This window comes from Homo sapiens, chromosome 2, assembly GCF_000001405.40.
Source record: "Homo sapiens chromosome 2, GRCh38.p14 Primary Assembly".
In the NCBI taxonomy this organism is placed as follows: domain Eukaryota; kingdom Metazoa; phylum Chordata; class Mammalia; order Primates; family Hominidae; genus Homo; species Homo sapiens.
Window position 1 is genome coordinate 220407250 of NC_000002.12, and position 16852 is coordinate 220424101.

Here is a 16852-nt window from a genome sequence, read left to right on the forward strand (position 1 = left end):
GGATGGTATCTCACTGTGGTTTTGATTTGCATTTCTCTAATCATTAGTGGTGTTGAGCACTTTTTATATGCTTGTTGGCTGCATGTATATCTTCTTTTGAAAAGTGTCTGTTAAGGTCCTTTGCCCACTTTATAATGGAGTTGTTTGTTTTTTGCTTGTAAATTTCCGTTCCTTATAGATTATGTATATTAGATCTTTGCCACATGCAGAGTTTGCAAATATTTTCTCCTATTCTGTAGGTTGTCTGTTTACTCTGTTGATAGTTTATTTTGCTCTGCAGAAGCTCTTTAGTTTAATTAGGTCTCATTTGTCAATTTTTGTTTTTGTTGCAATTGCTTTTGGCTTCTTGGTCATAAAATATTTGCCCAGTCCTGTGTCCAAAATAGTATTTCCTAGGTTACTTTCCAAGGTATTTATAGTTTTAGGTTTTATATTTAAGCCTCTAACCAATCTTGAGTTGATTTTTTTATGTGGTGTAAGGTAGTAGTCTAGTTCCAATCTTCTGCATATGACTAGCTCCTTATCCTAGCACAATTTATTAAATGGGGAATCCTTTCCCCATTGCTTATTTTTGTCAGTTTTGCTGAAGATCAGATGGCTGTAGGGGTGTGGCATTACTTCTGGGCTCCCTATTCTGTTTGATTGGTCTATGTGTCTGTTTTTGTACAAGTACCACACTGTTTTGGTTACTGTAGACCTGCAGTATAATTAGAAGTTGGGTAATGTGAATCCTCCAGCTTTGTTCTTTTCCTTTAGGATTGCCTTGACTAGTCTAGCTTTTTTTGGTCCCCCATAATGTTTAAAATAGATTCATTCTAATTTTGTGAAAAATGTATTTGGTAGTTTGATAGGAATAGCATTGAATCTGTTAACTACTTTGGGCAGTATGGCCATTTTAATCATATTTATTCTTCTTATCAAGGAGTGTGGAATTTTTTCATTCATTTGTGTCAGCTCTGATTTTTCTAAGCAGTGCTTTTTATCCTCTTTGGAGAGATCTTTCACCTTCCTGGTTAGTTGTATTCCTAGGTATTTTATGATTTTTCTGTAGCAATTGTAAGGGAATTGTTTTCCTAATTTGGCTCTTGGCTTTGCTATGTTGGTAGGAATGCTAGTGATTTTTTGCACATTGATTTTGTACCACAGAACTTTGCTGAAGTTGTTTATTATATCAGGGAGCTTTTGGGCAGACACTATCAATTTTCAAGGTATAGAATTAAGTTGTCTGCAAACAGGGATACTTTGGCTTTCTCTCTTCCTATTTAGATTCCTTCATTTCTTTCTCTTGTCTGATTGCTGTGGCCAAGACTTCTAACAATATATTTAATAGTAGTCATGAGAGAAGGCATCCTTGTCTGGTACCAGTTTTCAAGGGGAATGCTTCCAGCTTTTGCCCATTCAGTATGATGTTGGCTGTGGTCTTGTCATAGATGGCTCTTATTGTTTTGAAGTATGTTCTTCAAGGCATGGTTTATTGAGGGTTTTTAATATGAGTGGGTGTTGAATTTTATCAAAAGCCATTTCTGCATCTATTGAGATAATCATGTGGCTTTTGTTTTTTAGCTCTGTTTATGTAATGAATCACATGTATGAATCACATGTATTGATTAGCCTATGTTGGACCAACCTTGCATTCCAGGGACAAAACCTACTTGATCATGGTAAATTAGCTTTTTGATGTGCTGCTGGATTTGGTTTGCTAGTATTTAGTTGAGAATTTCTTCATCTATGTTCATCAAAAATATTGGCCTGAAGTTTTCTTTTTTTCTGTTGCATTTCTGCCAGGTTTTTGTATGAGAATGTTGCTGGCCTCATCAAATGAATTGTGTTAGAGTCCCTTCTTCTCAACTTTTTTTTGGAAAAGTTTCAGTAAGAATGGCAGCAGCTCTTTATATGTCTGATAGAATGTGGCTTTGAATCCATTTGGTCCTGGGCTTTTTTTGATTGGTAGACTTTTTTTTATGACTGATTCAGTTTCATAACTCATTATTGGTCTGTTCAGTGATTCAGTTTCTTCCTGGTTCAGTCTTGGGAGATTGTATGTTTTCAGGAATTTATTCATTTCTTCTAAATTTTCTGGTTTGTATGCCTAGAGGTGTTCTTAATAGTTCCTGATGATTTTTTTTTTCCTGTGGGGTCAGTGCTAACATTGCCTTTGTTATTTCTAATTGTGTTTCTTTGGATCTTCTCTTTTTTCTTTATTAGTCTAGTTAGCAGTCTATCTATTATTTTTTTCAAAGAACTAACTCCTCTATTTGTTTGTCTTTTGGATGGTTTCTCACGTCTCAACTTCCTTCAGTTCAGCTCTGATTTGGTTATTTCTTGTCTTCTGCTAGCTTTGGGGTTGGTTTGCTCTTGCTTCTCTAGTTCTTCTCATTGTGATCTTAGGTTGTTAACTTGAGATCTTTCTAAGTTTTTGACACGGGATTTTAGTGCTATAAACTTCCCTCTTAACACTGCCTTAGCTGTGTCCCAGAGATACTGGTATGCTGTATCTTTCTTCTCATTAGTTTCAAAGAATTTCTGAATCTCTGCCTTAATTTCGTTGTTTACTCTAAAGTCACTTAGGAGCAGGTTGTTTAATTTCCATATAATTGTTTGACTCAGTCATTTTCTTAATATTCATTTCCATTTTTATTGTGCTGTGGTCTGAAAGAGTGATTGGTATAATTTCATTTAAAAAAATTGCTGGGTATTGTTTTATGTCCAATTTTGTGGTTGATTTTGGAGTATGTGCCATGTGGTGATGATAAGAATGTATATTCTATTATTTTTGGACGGAGAATTCTGTAGATGTCTGTAAGATCCATTTGGTCCAGTGTTGAGTTCTTGTCCTAAATATCTTTGTTAACTTTCTATCTCAGTGACCTATCTAATACTGTCAGTGGGGTGTTGAAATCTCCCACTATTATTGTATGGGAATCAAAGTCTCTTTGAATTTCTCTAATAACTTGCTTTATGAATCTGGGTGGTCCTGACTTGAGTGTGTGTATATTTAGGATAGTCAGATCTCATTGAATTAAAAACACTTTACCATTATATAATGCCCTTTATTTTAATGTTTTTTGATCTTTGTTGGTTTAAAATCCATGTGGTGTGACATTAGAATTGCAACCACTACTTTTTCCTGTTTTCCATTCCTTGGTAGATTTTTCTCCATCCCTTTATTTTGAACCTATGGAGTCATTGCATGTGAGATTGGTCTCTTGAAGACAGCATACTATTGGGCCTTGCTTCTTTATCCAGCTTGCCACTTTGTGTCTTTTAATTTGGACATTTAGCCCATTTACATTCAAGGTTAGTATTGGAAAGTGAATATTTAATCCTGTCCTCATGTTATTAGCTGATTATTATGCAGACTTGTTTGTGTGGTTGCATTATAGTGTCACTGGACTACATATTTAAGTGTGTTTTTGTAGCGGCTGGTAGTGTTCTTTCCATATTTAGTGCTCCTTTCAGGACCTAAGGCAGGTTTGGTGACATGAATTTCCTCAGCATTTTCTTATCTGAAAAGAATCTTATTTCTCCTTCCTTTTTGAATTAATTTGGCTGGCTATGAAATTCTTGCTTGGAAATGTTTTTCTTTAAGAATGCTTAATATAGGCCCCCATTCTCTTCTGGCCTGTAAGGTTTCTGCTGAAAGGTCAGCTGTTAGCCTGTTGGGATTCCCTTTGTAGGTGACGTGCCCCTTCTCTCTAACTGCCTTAAATATTTTTCTTTCATTTTGACCTTGGAGAATTTAATGATAATGTGTCTGGGGGATGGTTTTCTTGTGTAATATATTGCAGGGGTTCTCTGCATTTTCTGGATTTGAATGATGACCTGTTTAGTGAGGTTGTGGATGTTTTAATGAGCTGTGTCTTAAAATATGTTTTCCAAGATCTTGCTTCCTCCTTGTCTCTTTCAGGGATGCTATTGGGTCATAGATTTTGTCTCCTTACATAATCCCATATTTCTCAGAGGATTTGTTCATTCTTTTTTATGCTTTTTTTCTCTATTTTGTCTGACTGAGTTATTTCAGAGAGCCAGTTTTAAACTCTGAGATTCTTTCCTCAGTTTTATCTATTCTGCTGTGAAAATTTGCAATTGTATTATGCAATTCTTGTAGTGTTTTTCAGGTCTATCAGATTATGTTGATTCTTTTTTCTAATGATTATTTTGTCCATAAGCTCCTGTATTGTTTTATTGTGATTCTTAGCTTCCTGGGATTGGGTTTTGATGTTCTCCTGAATCTTGATGATCTCCATTCCTGTCCATATTCTGAATTCCATTTCTGTCATTTCAGCCCAGGTAAGAACTAGTGTAGTTGTTTGGAGGAAAGAAGACACTCCAGCTTTTTGAGTTGCAAGAGTTCTTGTGCTAGTCTTTCTCATTTTTGTGAGCTGATGTTTCTTCAGTCTTTGACGTTGCTGTTCATTCAATTTTTTTTTTTGCTTTTTTCTTTTTTGTTGTCCTTGGGGGTTCAATTATGCTATATGGTGGGTTTGGTTGACTAGCTTTAATTCTAGTTCACTCCTAGGTCTTGGAGAATCCCCCCTCTGATTACTATCTACATACCTGCTTTTGTTGTTGTTGGGTGTTCTGGTCCATGGGGCTCCCTCAGACAGAGGTTGTGGTTGGCAGACAAGCCATATCCTTTCCAGGCCAGACCTAATCTGCTGTCCATGTGCTTCCTGGGAAAACACAGGGTTATGCCTGTCTGCAGAGTTTAGGTAGAAGCAGGACCCCTGGGTTGGAAGCTCTCTGAGTGTGGCCTCAATGGCTATAGGAGGCAGGGGTTGGTGGAGTTGCCTGCCCTGCTGTCAAGATGTTTCCAGGGCAGCAGGAGGCTGTGCCTCTCAGCAAATTCAGGCAGAAGTTGAACCACTGAGCCAGAAGCTGTAGCAGGTATGACTTGCCTGGCTACCAGTGGTGGGCATGGATGTGGAAACCTGCTTTGCTGTCTGGATGCTTCTTGGGACAACAGGAGGTTGTGCCTTTTGGCAAATTCAGGCATAAGCAGGACCGCTAACCTGGCAACTCCAGCAGGAGCTGCCAACTTTGCTTCTGGTGGCTTCAGTGGGTGGGGTCACATGCTCTGCTGCCTGGGTGTTTCCTGGGGTAACAACAGAAAGCTGTGTTCTCAAGCTAGGTTCACACAGAAGTGGGGCTGCTGGGCCAGAAGCTCCAGCAAACATTGCCTGCCTGGTTACCAGTGGTGAGAGTGGTTGGGGTCATATACTCTGACCTTTGGATATTTCCTGGGACATCAGAAGGCTGCACCCCCCAGCTGAGTTCACATAAAAGTGAGACTGCTGGGCTGGAAGCTCTAGCAAGTGTTGCCCACCTGGCTACTAGTGGTGAGGGTGAGTGGAGTGGCCAGCTGGTTCAGGCCAAAGTAGGACTCTGGGTTGGAAGCTGGAGCTGAGCCCCATCTAGAAAAATTAGGGTGGGATAATCTTACTGCTCCCAGGCACTGCAACTGTGTCCTCTATTGGGGCTGTGGTGCTGGTGTTTATCTGCTACAGGGCACAAGGATTGTAGAGGTCCCCTTGGACTAGACAGTTGCCTCCGCAAAATGTCCTGGTGGCTCTTTGCCTCAGTCTGAAGCACAGTGTGGGGAGGCCAGCGGGATTCCCCCACTGCCAGTCTTGTGCAGGTCTCTGTGGAGAGTGTGAATCTCTCTGGGGGCTCTCACTCACTCACCCTTTCCTGGTTGGAGAGGTTCTCCTGGCTCTGTGCTGAGCCCAGACAGGGAAGAGAGCAGAGAGGAGCAAAGCTGGGCACCAGCCTGTCTGGGCTCAGCACAGAGCCAGGAGAACCTCTCCAACAAAGGAAAGAGTGAATGTTATACTATATTTTTGTAATTTTGGGAAAAATTGTCAACTATCTTCTAAAGAGATTTAAATTATAAGAAAAACATCTCTTATGTATTTACCCACGTAGTTACCATACCTACCGCTCTTTCTTTGTGTAGACCCATGTTTCTATCTGGTATTATTTTCCTTCTGCCTGGAGGACTTCCTTTAATATTTCTTATATTGAGGGTCTGCTATAGATGAGCTCTTTCAGCTTTTGTATATCTAAATATGTTTTTATTTCACTTTCATTTTTGAAAGATGCTATTACCAGATATAGAATTCCACGTTGACACTTTTTACAGGACTTTAAAGATGTTGCTCCACTTTCCCGCTTACATTATGTTTGATGAGAAATCTACTGTCATCCTTATCTTTGTTCCTCCATAAGTATCTTTCTTCTCTAGCTACTTTAAACATTTTTTGTCACTTATTTTGAGTAATTTAAAAATGTGTCTTGCTGTAGTCCTCACCTCCTCCTCTTCCCTCCTCCTTTCCCTCCCTTCTCCTTTTCCTTCCTTCCTTCCTTCCCCTCCTTTCTTCTTTCCTTCCCTCATTTTCTCCTCCTCCTTCTGCTCCTCCTTCTCCTTCACTCATTGAACTTCTTAGATACTATACTAAACCCAAGATCCTTGAGTTTATAGTATCACTGTATTTAGAAAAATTTGGGCCATTACTGAGTCAAATTGTTTTCTGTCCCATGTCTTTCTCTTCTCCTTCAGTGAATCCAATTGAACATATATAAGAGGGCTTGAATTTGTCCCACAGTTTACTGATTATTTATTTTTTTAATTGTTTTTCTCTTTAATTTTGGATTTCTTTCTTTTGCCATGTTTTTTTCTTCTGCAAGGTTTAATCTGTCATTAATTCTATCCAGTATATTTTTTTCATTTCAAATATTGTAGTTTTCACCACGAGAAATTCAATTGGGGTCTTTAAAAAATATTTTTCTTTTCCTACTTACTTTTCTGGAACATGTAAGAAAGCATTAAAATAGCTGTTTTAATGCTGATTCTAAAATCCATGTCCATTTGGGGTTTATTTTGGATGATTGATTTCTCTTCTCATCATGGGTTTTATTTTTCTTCTTCTTTGCATGCCGATTGTCTTTTATTGGATAGTAGGTATCGTAAATGTTACATCATGGATGCTGGCTATTTTTGTATTTCTATAAATATTTTTTAGTCTTGTTATGGAACATGGTTATGTTACTTGGAAACAGTTTGATTCTTTCAAATCTTGCTTTCTAAATTTGTTAGATGGGACCTGAGTATTACTTAGTTTAAGGCTAATTATTCTCTACTACAGAGGCAAGACATTTCTGGGTGATCTACCCAATGCTCTGTGAATTCTGAGATTTCTATTCTGGCTGTTGGGACCAGGCTCTGTTTCTATCCCTTTATAAGCACTAAGGACTGTAATCTTTATCTTTTCAAGGGTTTGGGTCCCCCCACCCCCAGCTTTGGGTAGTATCCTCATAACCATGCACTGATCAGCACTATTCTGAATACTCAAGGGGAATTCTCTGCTGCTCTCCAGATTTCCTTCTCTGTGCAACTCTCTCCTCTCTAGTACTCTGCATGTCAACTCTCACCATCTTGGTCTCCCCAGGCTCAGCTGTTTCTTTAACTCAGAGAATTTGCTGGGCTTCTCCTGGGTTTTCTTTCTCATGTCACAGCCTAGAAACCTTCTCAAGGCTGTAATCTGGGACTATCATAGGGCTTATCTTATTTGTTCCCTGTTTCTCAAGGCTATCTATCCTTTGTTGCCTAATACTCAATGTCTTTAAACCTGTTGTTTCAAGACATATATTTTGTCTTGGTTGTTTTGGAGGGGGTGGGAGGGATGAAAATTTGGTATTTTCTCTAGAAGCAGAAGTTCTCTACAGACTTTTGTTTGAATATAACCATTATGAACCCTGATGCTTTAACTCTTAAAGAGAGTTTGCTAGTTGCCTGCTACTAACTTTAAAAATTTAACATTACTATGTTCTTTTCTCTTGTCACCTTGTCCTGGTCCCAATTGGCTTTTGTAACTCAAACATGTTCTATAGTGAAATGCAATCCAGCAGAATTTTTTTTTATTGCATCCATGGGAGAGGAAAGAGAACCCTTCATAAGATAGATATGGACAGTGACCCCTTTGCTTCATCTAAGAGTTTTCCATTCAAGGCAATATCCTCACTGCGTGTCCCCTAAAAGTCCTTGAGGAATACCAGTATTTCCCCTTGATTTAGAGTTGAGAGGGATTAGGGTAAGAATGAAAAAGCTAATGGGATTCTGACAAGGTTCTTTTGGCTTTATATTCATCTCTGTGGGAAGAGGGGTATAAGAAATGCTATCTATTACACACAAGAGGCTGTTTCAAAAGGCATGAGAAAATGGGCATGAATAGATTATCCAGATATACTTATGTGATAGACACATATAATGATGTCTTGATATTCTGAGCATGTTTCAGAAAGAGATTTGTGCAGCCAAATAATGATGAAATAGATGTCCTAAATATGCCATGAGCATAACATTGAAAAAGTATTTTTCCACAGAACACAGTTCTTATCTCTAGTCAATATTTGATGCATGCTCATTTCTATTTCCTCATATTCAGTCAAGGAGGGAAAAAGTGGATTCATCTCTAAGTGACTGATCATCACAGCTTTACTCTGCAACATTAGGAGAAAGATAAATTATGAAAGAATACAGACTTTAAACAGCCATTCTGATTAGTAAGAGTCATCCTGATGGAGTCAGAAGAATGAGAGTTGAGTTTTCAGAAGCATCATTGTTTCTTCAGAGCATTAAGGGTGATCGACACATGTTGCAAAAAATAAAAATGCTGCTAGTTATTCTAAAGATTAAATGGAGGATAACAAGTAGCATATTATTTGCCTTTTAAAAGGAATCCCAATTAAAAAGTCAGCTTTAGTTTCATGGGGAGGTATTTATTGACTGAATTGGCAATGTCATAAAGTATGGTATCCAATAAGTAGATAGATTAAAATGAAAACATATACACTATGATTGATGGAAGATAAGTAAAACCAAGTGCCCAGGCAGAAATAAGACTTGTATGAAATCCACAGTACCAAATTCACAGTAGATTCTCACAAGAAATATTAACATGCACTTGCTATGTTTGGTGTGCTGAGTTAGGAGGTATCTCAGGACACACAGAGTGTCCGTGCTGTTAAGATACCCCACTCTAATTAGGGATAGTGGACACAACCTTAAAAAGATAAGTGGTCTCAAATGTGAGCCTGAGCCATTCTGGGAAGGCATAATTGAAAAACTGATTGTAGAAGAAAGAATAGTATCTGTGTTCTGTAATGTTCTAATAGCTGGTAATACAGCAGTTAGGAAAATACGGACACTGCTCTCATGAAATTTAATTCTAGTGGGATTAATCAAATTAAATATGCTCAAGGCAGAATCAAGCAGAGTACATTTTGAAAACAGACAAATAGACAACAGACAAGAAGAACAAACTTTACCTCTTCAAGAAAATACCCTTTCTTACACATAAAAACTGAAAAAGCCCCTTGAAGGTAGTTGGCATTTTATATACAAGGTACGCTATGTACATCACGTCCCTTCCTCCTGAAACATCTCTTCCTCTCACGTGCAAATGAGAAAACAGAAGTTCAGTCAGATTACACTTAACTAAAATATAAAGGCTTGGAATGAAATCCAAGTATATTAGCTGCTAATGCCTATGCTCATCTCATGGCTCTAGGGTAATTGGGAGCCTTGCTTTATCACCAGTTGTTTTCCATCAGTATTTCAGCCACTTCACCTTTGAGCCACACCTGTCAGAGTCCTCCCACTCTGTCTCCTTTTAGAAGGCATCATGGATCTTAAAGGTTGCGGTCTCTTTGCAATACAGGCCAAAGAAGATAAAGCAAGAAACTAAAGAAAAATAAGAGAAGGGTAACTGAAGCCTGTCCTCAAATCATATACAGAGCATCTTCCTCTTGTGTAGGGCGACTGATTGCCACCTCAGAGTGTTGAAAGAACTTGGCCTTGGCTCATTTGGCTGGGAAGGCCCTCCAGGGTTGGTCTGGATGATTGATCAGGAAATGAAGCTCCCTCCTGCCCGTGGTTTGTGGAGCAGTGGGGGATGACTTTGAACCTTGCCGATCACTTCCAGAATTGGAGAGTTACTGTGCTTATATTAAAAACTCAAATGTAGGGCACAGGCCAGGGAATATTTGGAGCTTGCTATTTATCCGGAGTACTCTATGATACAGACTTGATTTAATTGCTCTCATGCCTGCTTAAGATATATTTAAGCAGGCATCAAACTTTCACTAGGGTTGATATTTTCCCAAAAGCTGGTAAAAACTTTTCAGCACAGATGTGAAGCGGGCCGACTGTTGGGCTCTGTGAGGACAACAGCAGAAACTTCATGGTGGAATGCTGGGGGTCCTTTCAATTCCAAACAGTCTGCCTCTATATCTACTAGCTCCATTCCAGGAGGACTGCGGGGCAGCTTTCAAGAAACTGGGCTTCAAAGCACCCAGGAGGCTCCTCAAACTGAGAGGAGTCCCATGATCAGTAGGAATCTCTTTAAGAAACTGTAAATGCGTGACCTTGAGGAAAAGGTGCACTTTCATGAAGAGAAAAAAGCCCCCCTGCTAGCTGGCAGGATATTGAAGCCAGAGGAGTCCCACAGTGGCATCAAGCTGAGCTGTAAATCCTAGACATTCACAAGCTCCAGGCTGCAGAATCTGTCCCAAGTTTTGTTTGTTTCCTATCAATGGTGTTAACAGCTCTGCCAACGTTCCGCAATTGTGCGGGGAGGACAATGCGCCGAGAAAAATCAGTACAGTATTGTTTTATTTTTATGCTATATCCAGAAAGAAAGATCTCATCTATTCATTGTAATACATTTGTCATTTTAGTCTGAATAAATGCAAGGCTATGAGAAAATGCTGATACCAGTTGTCAGAGAAAACTATTTACAATTGTCCCTCCCTTCTTTCTTTAGGCAATTTCATTATAATCTTTTCAGCTTCACAGAAAGATGAACAAAACTTGTGCACTGAGTGTAAAGTGGATGACTGAACTGCATCAATTATGACCTTCACTTTTAAAGTTAACAGTAGGGGAAGCAAAATGTTGACTTCAGTAGTTTGGTTAATGTTTTCTCTTCTCTATTATGTCTCACGGGATTGGATTTTGTGTGAAGACCTTAAATTCATTTGTTAATTCATTCATTTATTACTCATTCAATACTTAATGAGTGTTGGCTATGAACAAAACACTGGATTAGTCCCTGGAGATACCGCTGTGAACATGACCTCTGAGGTCTTACTACAACCTAGCAAGGGTGATGTCTTCATAAGGAAGGAGGAAATTCTACCGTCAAAATCAGGGCTTTCAAAGAAAAAGAAGAGAACTCTATTAGGCATAGTTTTCCCTATCAGACATTCTTATACATCCCTCTGCCAAGTGTCCGATGAGCTTAAAATAAATCTCTGACTTCTGACTTTTCAGTGAAAATACACTTATTTTTTGTAAGGTTGAGCATAAGCCACTTCGAATAGAATGCGTGAGAGGCAAGGAGTCAAATATTGTTAACCCGTTTGTCACTTGACTTTGCTGAATTCCTTTTTTGTTTGCTTTTTAGGATAAAGGAAATTGATGTGTTTAATTAATAACAGGTGTTACGAGACACCCTAAAAATAGCTTTTGAAACCTCAGGCTATCGTTCCTGTGAGTTTAATACTGATTTTATTTCAGTATCTCCATAGTTTTTCTAATGTTTTTATCACCACATTAGGGACTTACCTTAGTCCTCTCTATGTGTTTTTAAAGTTTTTTTTTTATACGAATCCTTATCAGTATTTAGGTATTATCCAAAACAAGCATTTCCCAAACTTCAGTCATTTGTGCAAAACCTTAACAATTTTTTTCACGTATTCATCCTATGGCTTTTCTCCTTCAATTATTTTGTCATATCTGATTGTCAAGTCTACCACTATGCACATAATATTTTGTTTAAATGGACTTGCTTTTTTCAAAAAACAAAAACATTAAGCTAGTTCATTTTCGAAAGAGACTTTATTACATAAGTGAAAAATACCAGTTTTGCTTACAGTAAACGGAAGGTAATAGCAAAGAAAAATAAAATGTGAGCTCTTAAGTTAAATTCTACTCAGAGGGTTCAGAGTCTTCTCACCTTTTGTTAAACCAGAAGGTTCAGCCCATGATGGCTGATGTTAAAGACATACTCAGACCCACGCAAGACTTGCTTAGATATAGAAAAATAAAAACAACACTTTCCTTGCTATGTGATTGAGGATATTTAATGCAATGTCTGGGTATCTCGTAAGGTCATCTCCTGAATTTCTGGGGCACTTCAAAGGGCTATGATATGGCCGCACTCCAGGCTCTTGTGGGAATGACTTTGGCCTGTGAAGAGGCTGCCTTCCCCCGTTAGTGTAGTAAATAGGGGCGAGTGCTTATTTCAAACAACTCTTTCTTTCCTTCAAGCTCTATAACCATTGCCTTCACTCCACTATTCAGAGATAGGGGATAGTTTAAGAGAATCCAGTGTCTCCTCAACAAGGCTTTAACATCTGCAGCTTGTGACATCCGTCACCACCTTTCCATGGCATGCTTCCTGTATTAATTCTTCTTCTCTTTAATTAACGGTCTGATTCTTAAAAATAAACTTTACACTATGTGGATATGAGTGATCATTTCCAGTCAGCAGAACAGAAGGCAATAACACTAGATCATGGCTGAACTCCCTCCAATAATACACTACCCGGCAGTCATGACAACAGGAAGTCATTTATCAGGCCCAGGTTTCTCCTATTTCATCTAGAAATATAAATATCTTATTTTTAATAGAGAGAAAGATGAGCTGAGAAGATGATGACGGATCAAGTGGATGACATCAGGGTCCAGCCAAAGCTTTTAAACATGGCATTTTTCAAATCATGGGGAAGGGAGAGCAGAGGGAGGAAGAGGAGAGAATATCAAACTGCATTTTACAAAAGCAGACCAAGCTAAAGTGATCACACATCACGTTCTTTCCCAAGTCTGAGAGGAAATCTGAAGTTTTTTCAGGTCTACTCATCCTATGATATTGTCACATTGCCGAGAAATGGACTCACAGTCAAAAAGGATGGTTTGTTGGCAGTGAAAAATAGTCGATTCCTTACTGCAAATTCATTATGTTTTATCTTTACAGAAGAGCTTGTTGTTTCAGGAAAATAAGAAGTCCAGAGATAGAAATTGCTAAGGATGACCTAGGTTAAGTAAGAGAAAGGCTATCCAGGTATGTGCTAGTAAAATACAGGGACGGGTTCTGAACAGAATATTCCAGGATTTCATAGATGAGGGAGTGCAGATGATTTTCAGTAAATGTGCACGTGACACTAAGCTGAGAGTTTGGATCATATGTTTTTTAAAACAAACCATTTAATAAAATGTATTTTCCTAAAGAAAGAATACTTTGAAAAATGTGAATTGGGGAGGAAGAAGCTTGGAGCTGGGGTAATATTTATGGTAATCTTTTCTTCCCCTATGGAGTAAGTATGCCTGTGGATAGAGTGATATCTTTCTAAGTATCTCAGCTCTCTTTTTCCTTTTCCAGGATTCTTGTACTTAAAACATAAAAATAAACAAGCAAACAAAAGATGAAAAATTACCATGAGAGCTCCTGAGGGGAATCAAAGACGAGAGTTTTAGGAATTAATCTCATTCCACCATTTGCTATATTGTACCTGTTCCTAGTTTGCAAATAACAGAACTGCTGCAGAAGCTGGTTCTTAGCAGCTCTACATGGCCTGCAAATGAACCATGCTGTAGAGGGTAAAGGAAGACAGATAATAGTTATAGGAAACCTTCATTGTAGAAAGGAGCAGGGAGTTGCTGTTAAATTGTCTACTATTTTTTTTTTTTGAAGATACTATGCAAAGCTTTTGGTCATAAAAACAGCCTCTAGCAAGCAATGCATTTTACATAAAGGAAACCTTCCCAGGAAGGATGGTTATGAATTTGATTATAAGATCTTCTCTTTGCATAAATTTGGTTTAGCCTAAATAAGACTTGAAACATGAAACAATGTCCATGGAGTACAATTCACCAATTGTTACTTTTAATTATGTTCACATGCATAATTCATAAATACACTGCATGGACAAGAGAGAAGAAAAGATAAGAAGGAACAAAAGAGATGAATTTTCCATCAAACAATTACTATATAAATAGACAATGTATTTAATACATTAGTTAGCAAAGTGATTCTTTGTTCTTGCCAGTCTGGGGCTTAAAAACGTTAAAAGAATCCCCAAATTTAACATTGTTAAATTTTGCTAATGTCTCCTTTAAATGAAATAAATAGGGATTATCCTTTTTATGGGGGAAAAAAAAGTAAAAAGTTTTCCTAAAATGTGGAGATTTCAGTATGGTTGACATATCATATCAAAATCTATAATATAGTAGATTCTAGTGTGACTTCTTAATATGAAAACATTTAAGAATGGCATTATTTTCTCCTTAGGAGGCCTCTCTCTCTCTCTCTCTGTGTCTCTCTCTCTTTTTTTTTTTTTTGGTGCTAGGTATTGTCATTTCATGTTGCTGTGAGGTATTTGCTTTGTATAATCTAGTTAACAGTACAGTATATGCATCATATTGGAATAAAAAGAAGTAATACAAACAGTGATGAAAGACATTACCAAAGAGTCTAAACTATTTCCCAACTCTGTAATATTTATGAAAGCATTTGATTTGGTACGGTCAATGATAGCCTTATTTCTGAGATGAAAAAATTAAATAAAATATTGGTTAGGAAATTATATGTTAAATACTGAATGCAAGCTTTATATTTAAGCATTCTTATTGCAAATTTTTTCAATGTAAAAAAAAACCTTTTGGTTGATGGTGCAGTTTTTAGAAAGCCTGATAAATACTACCTCGTTTCCATGATCAATTTCAGAACCATTAGAGCTAGATACAGTCAGGGACATAGCAACCAAAATGTCAGTTCCATTTGTGGTAGAGCTATGGAGATCTTTGTCTTGGTTCAGGTATGTGGCAACAGAGTGCTCCTTAATACTAAATGTTGAGATAACACAGGTTTACCCACCCAGTTTCAAACAGCACTCCAACTGTGGGCTCCTTGCTAGTTCATCAGCAGGACTCACTTTATTAAATGTAGGTTCCTGAAGGAAGCAAGCAAAATGTGCACAGCTTGCAGACACCAAGCTACACCTGCTCAGATTCTTCTTCTAAACCCTCCAATCAGATATCTCACTCCTCCTATTTGGGGGCAGGTGTGGGTGGGTAAGGGAGGATGCAGAGTTATAACCCAACAGAACCTCCCTCCATATAGAACTGTCAAGTATTTATTGTTAAACGCTGATATCCCTGCCATACAGGTTAACATTTTTACATATCATGCCTGCTTTCACATGGACAGAAACAATGTAAGTATGGAATTAGTGTTTGAACAGATAAGGGAATATCTTCCCCTAATGATCTTATGGAAATCTGAATTTATTTAAAATACAAATCAGCCTATATGCTATAGCCATGAAAGGAAACTTTCTGCACAGAAAATTTTTTGGCTTCTTATGATCAACATTCGTTGTTTAATTTTCTTCTACTAAAAATGGTGATGATAACAATGTGTATCTTATATAACTGTGCCAAAGATTAAATAGAATAATACACAGTAGTGCTTTGAAAAGTGTCTGGCTTACCAAAAGTACTTAAAAATATAACTGCTATTGTTGTAAATGTCATCATCATCATCATCATCATCATCATCATTTTTTAGCTCAGGTCAAGATCTGAAGATGGGTGATGAGGATTCAATGACAGATGCACAGGCCATTGGAAGAAAGGTTTCTTTTTATGATTTGGTCAGTAAGAATCATTAAGAGCCCACATCATGACTAGTATTGTAAGCACACAGTGTGACACACAGTAAGTGTAAGATGTAACATCTCTATATCCAAAGCTTAAAATCTACATGATTACATGAATATTTCAGGCTGCCTACAATGTAGTTCAGGAAACAGTGCTTTCCATGGGCCCAAAGATCAGGGAGATTCTAAATGAAGTGTCTTTGCCATCTGACCTTGAAAATCAGATAGGGTGTGTCCTAGGAGCAGCATCAAGAAAGGGAAGGATTTTGAAGAAATGTGGGTGTTTGGCAGATAGCGAGGGGATTGTTCTGATTGGACTGGGCTGGTCTTAACCCTAGAAGAAAATCTAGATACCAAAGTTTGTTCTGGAAGATGCAAGAGGGAAAATGTTTGCTTTTGCCTTTGACTCCCACTGCCCTTATGTGAGGTCTCTTCAGCTTGGGCGTGGTGCTGCCTGCCCATGCAGGTCCATACCCTATGTTCTTTCCTCAGCCCACTCTCATTCTTTCTACTGTTTGAAATTGTATCCCTCTATCATAGTCTATTTGGATGGCTCAAAATGCCATAAACTGGGTGGCTTATAAACAACAGACATGTATAGCTCACAGTTCTGGAGGCTGGGAAGTCCAAGAGCAAGGTGCTATCAGCTAGCAGATTCAGTGTCTGGTGAGGGCTGTTTTCTCCTGATAACCTCACATGGTGGAAAGAAACAAGGCAGATGTCTCTGTGGCATCTTTTGCAAGGATACTAATCCCAGTCATGAGGATTACCTAATCACCTCCCAAAGGCCCCCCAATACCATCACACTGGTGACTAAGTTTTCAACATAAGAATTTTGGGAGGGGAACACAAACATTTAGACCATAGCACCCTTTTTTAAGGCCTGGTTTTTGTTGTCATTGTTTGTTTGTTTCTTTTCTTTGTGTCCCTTCTTTTTTTAAAAAAATTACATACTCAGTAATACTTTTTGAGCCTACTGTGTTATGTAGTCATATCTCTCCTTTTTGGTGGTAAGAACATACAATCTGATCCTGAGCCAGAATAACTAACCATCTAGGTGATCACAGATGAGTTGCTTAATCTGTCTTCATCTCATTTTCCTCAACTACAAAAGAATTAGTTTGGATTGGAT

General features: G+C 38.1%; 1 long non-coding RNA gene across 1 annotated transcript in view, besides 1 other annotated feature; it reads left to right on the top strand.

Annotated features, from left to right (window-relative positions):
- Positions 1-16852, top strand: part of LOC105373893 (uncharacterized) — a 428255-nt gene that overhangs the window by 339538 nt on the left and 71865 nt on the right. The window lies entirely within an intron of this gene.
- Positions 10086-10763: an enhancer, noted in NCBI's record as "OCT4-NANOG hESC enhancer chr2:221282056-221282733 (GRCh37/hg19 assembly coordinates)". NCBI's record gives its function as "activates a minimal SCP1, AML or CMV promoter by ChIP-STARR-seq in naive H9 embryonic stem cells {active_cell/tissue: H9 hESC(naive)}" and the evidence as "EXISTENCE:reporter gene assay evidence [ECO:0000049][PMID:30033119]".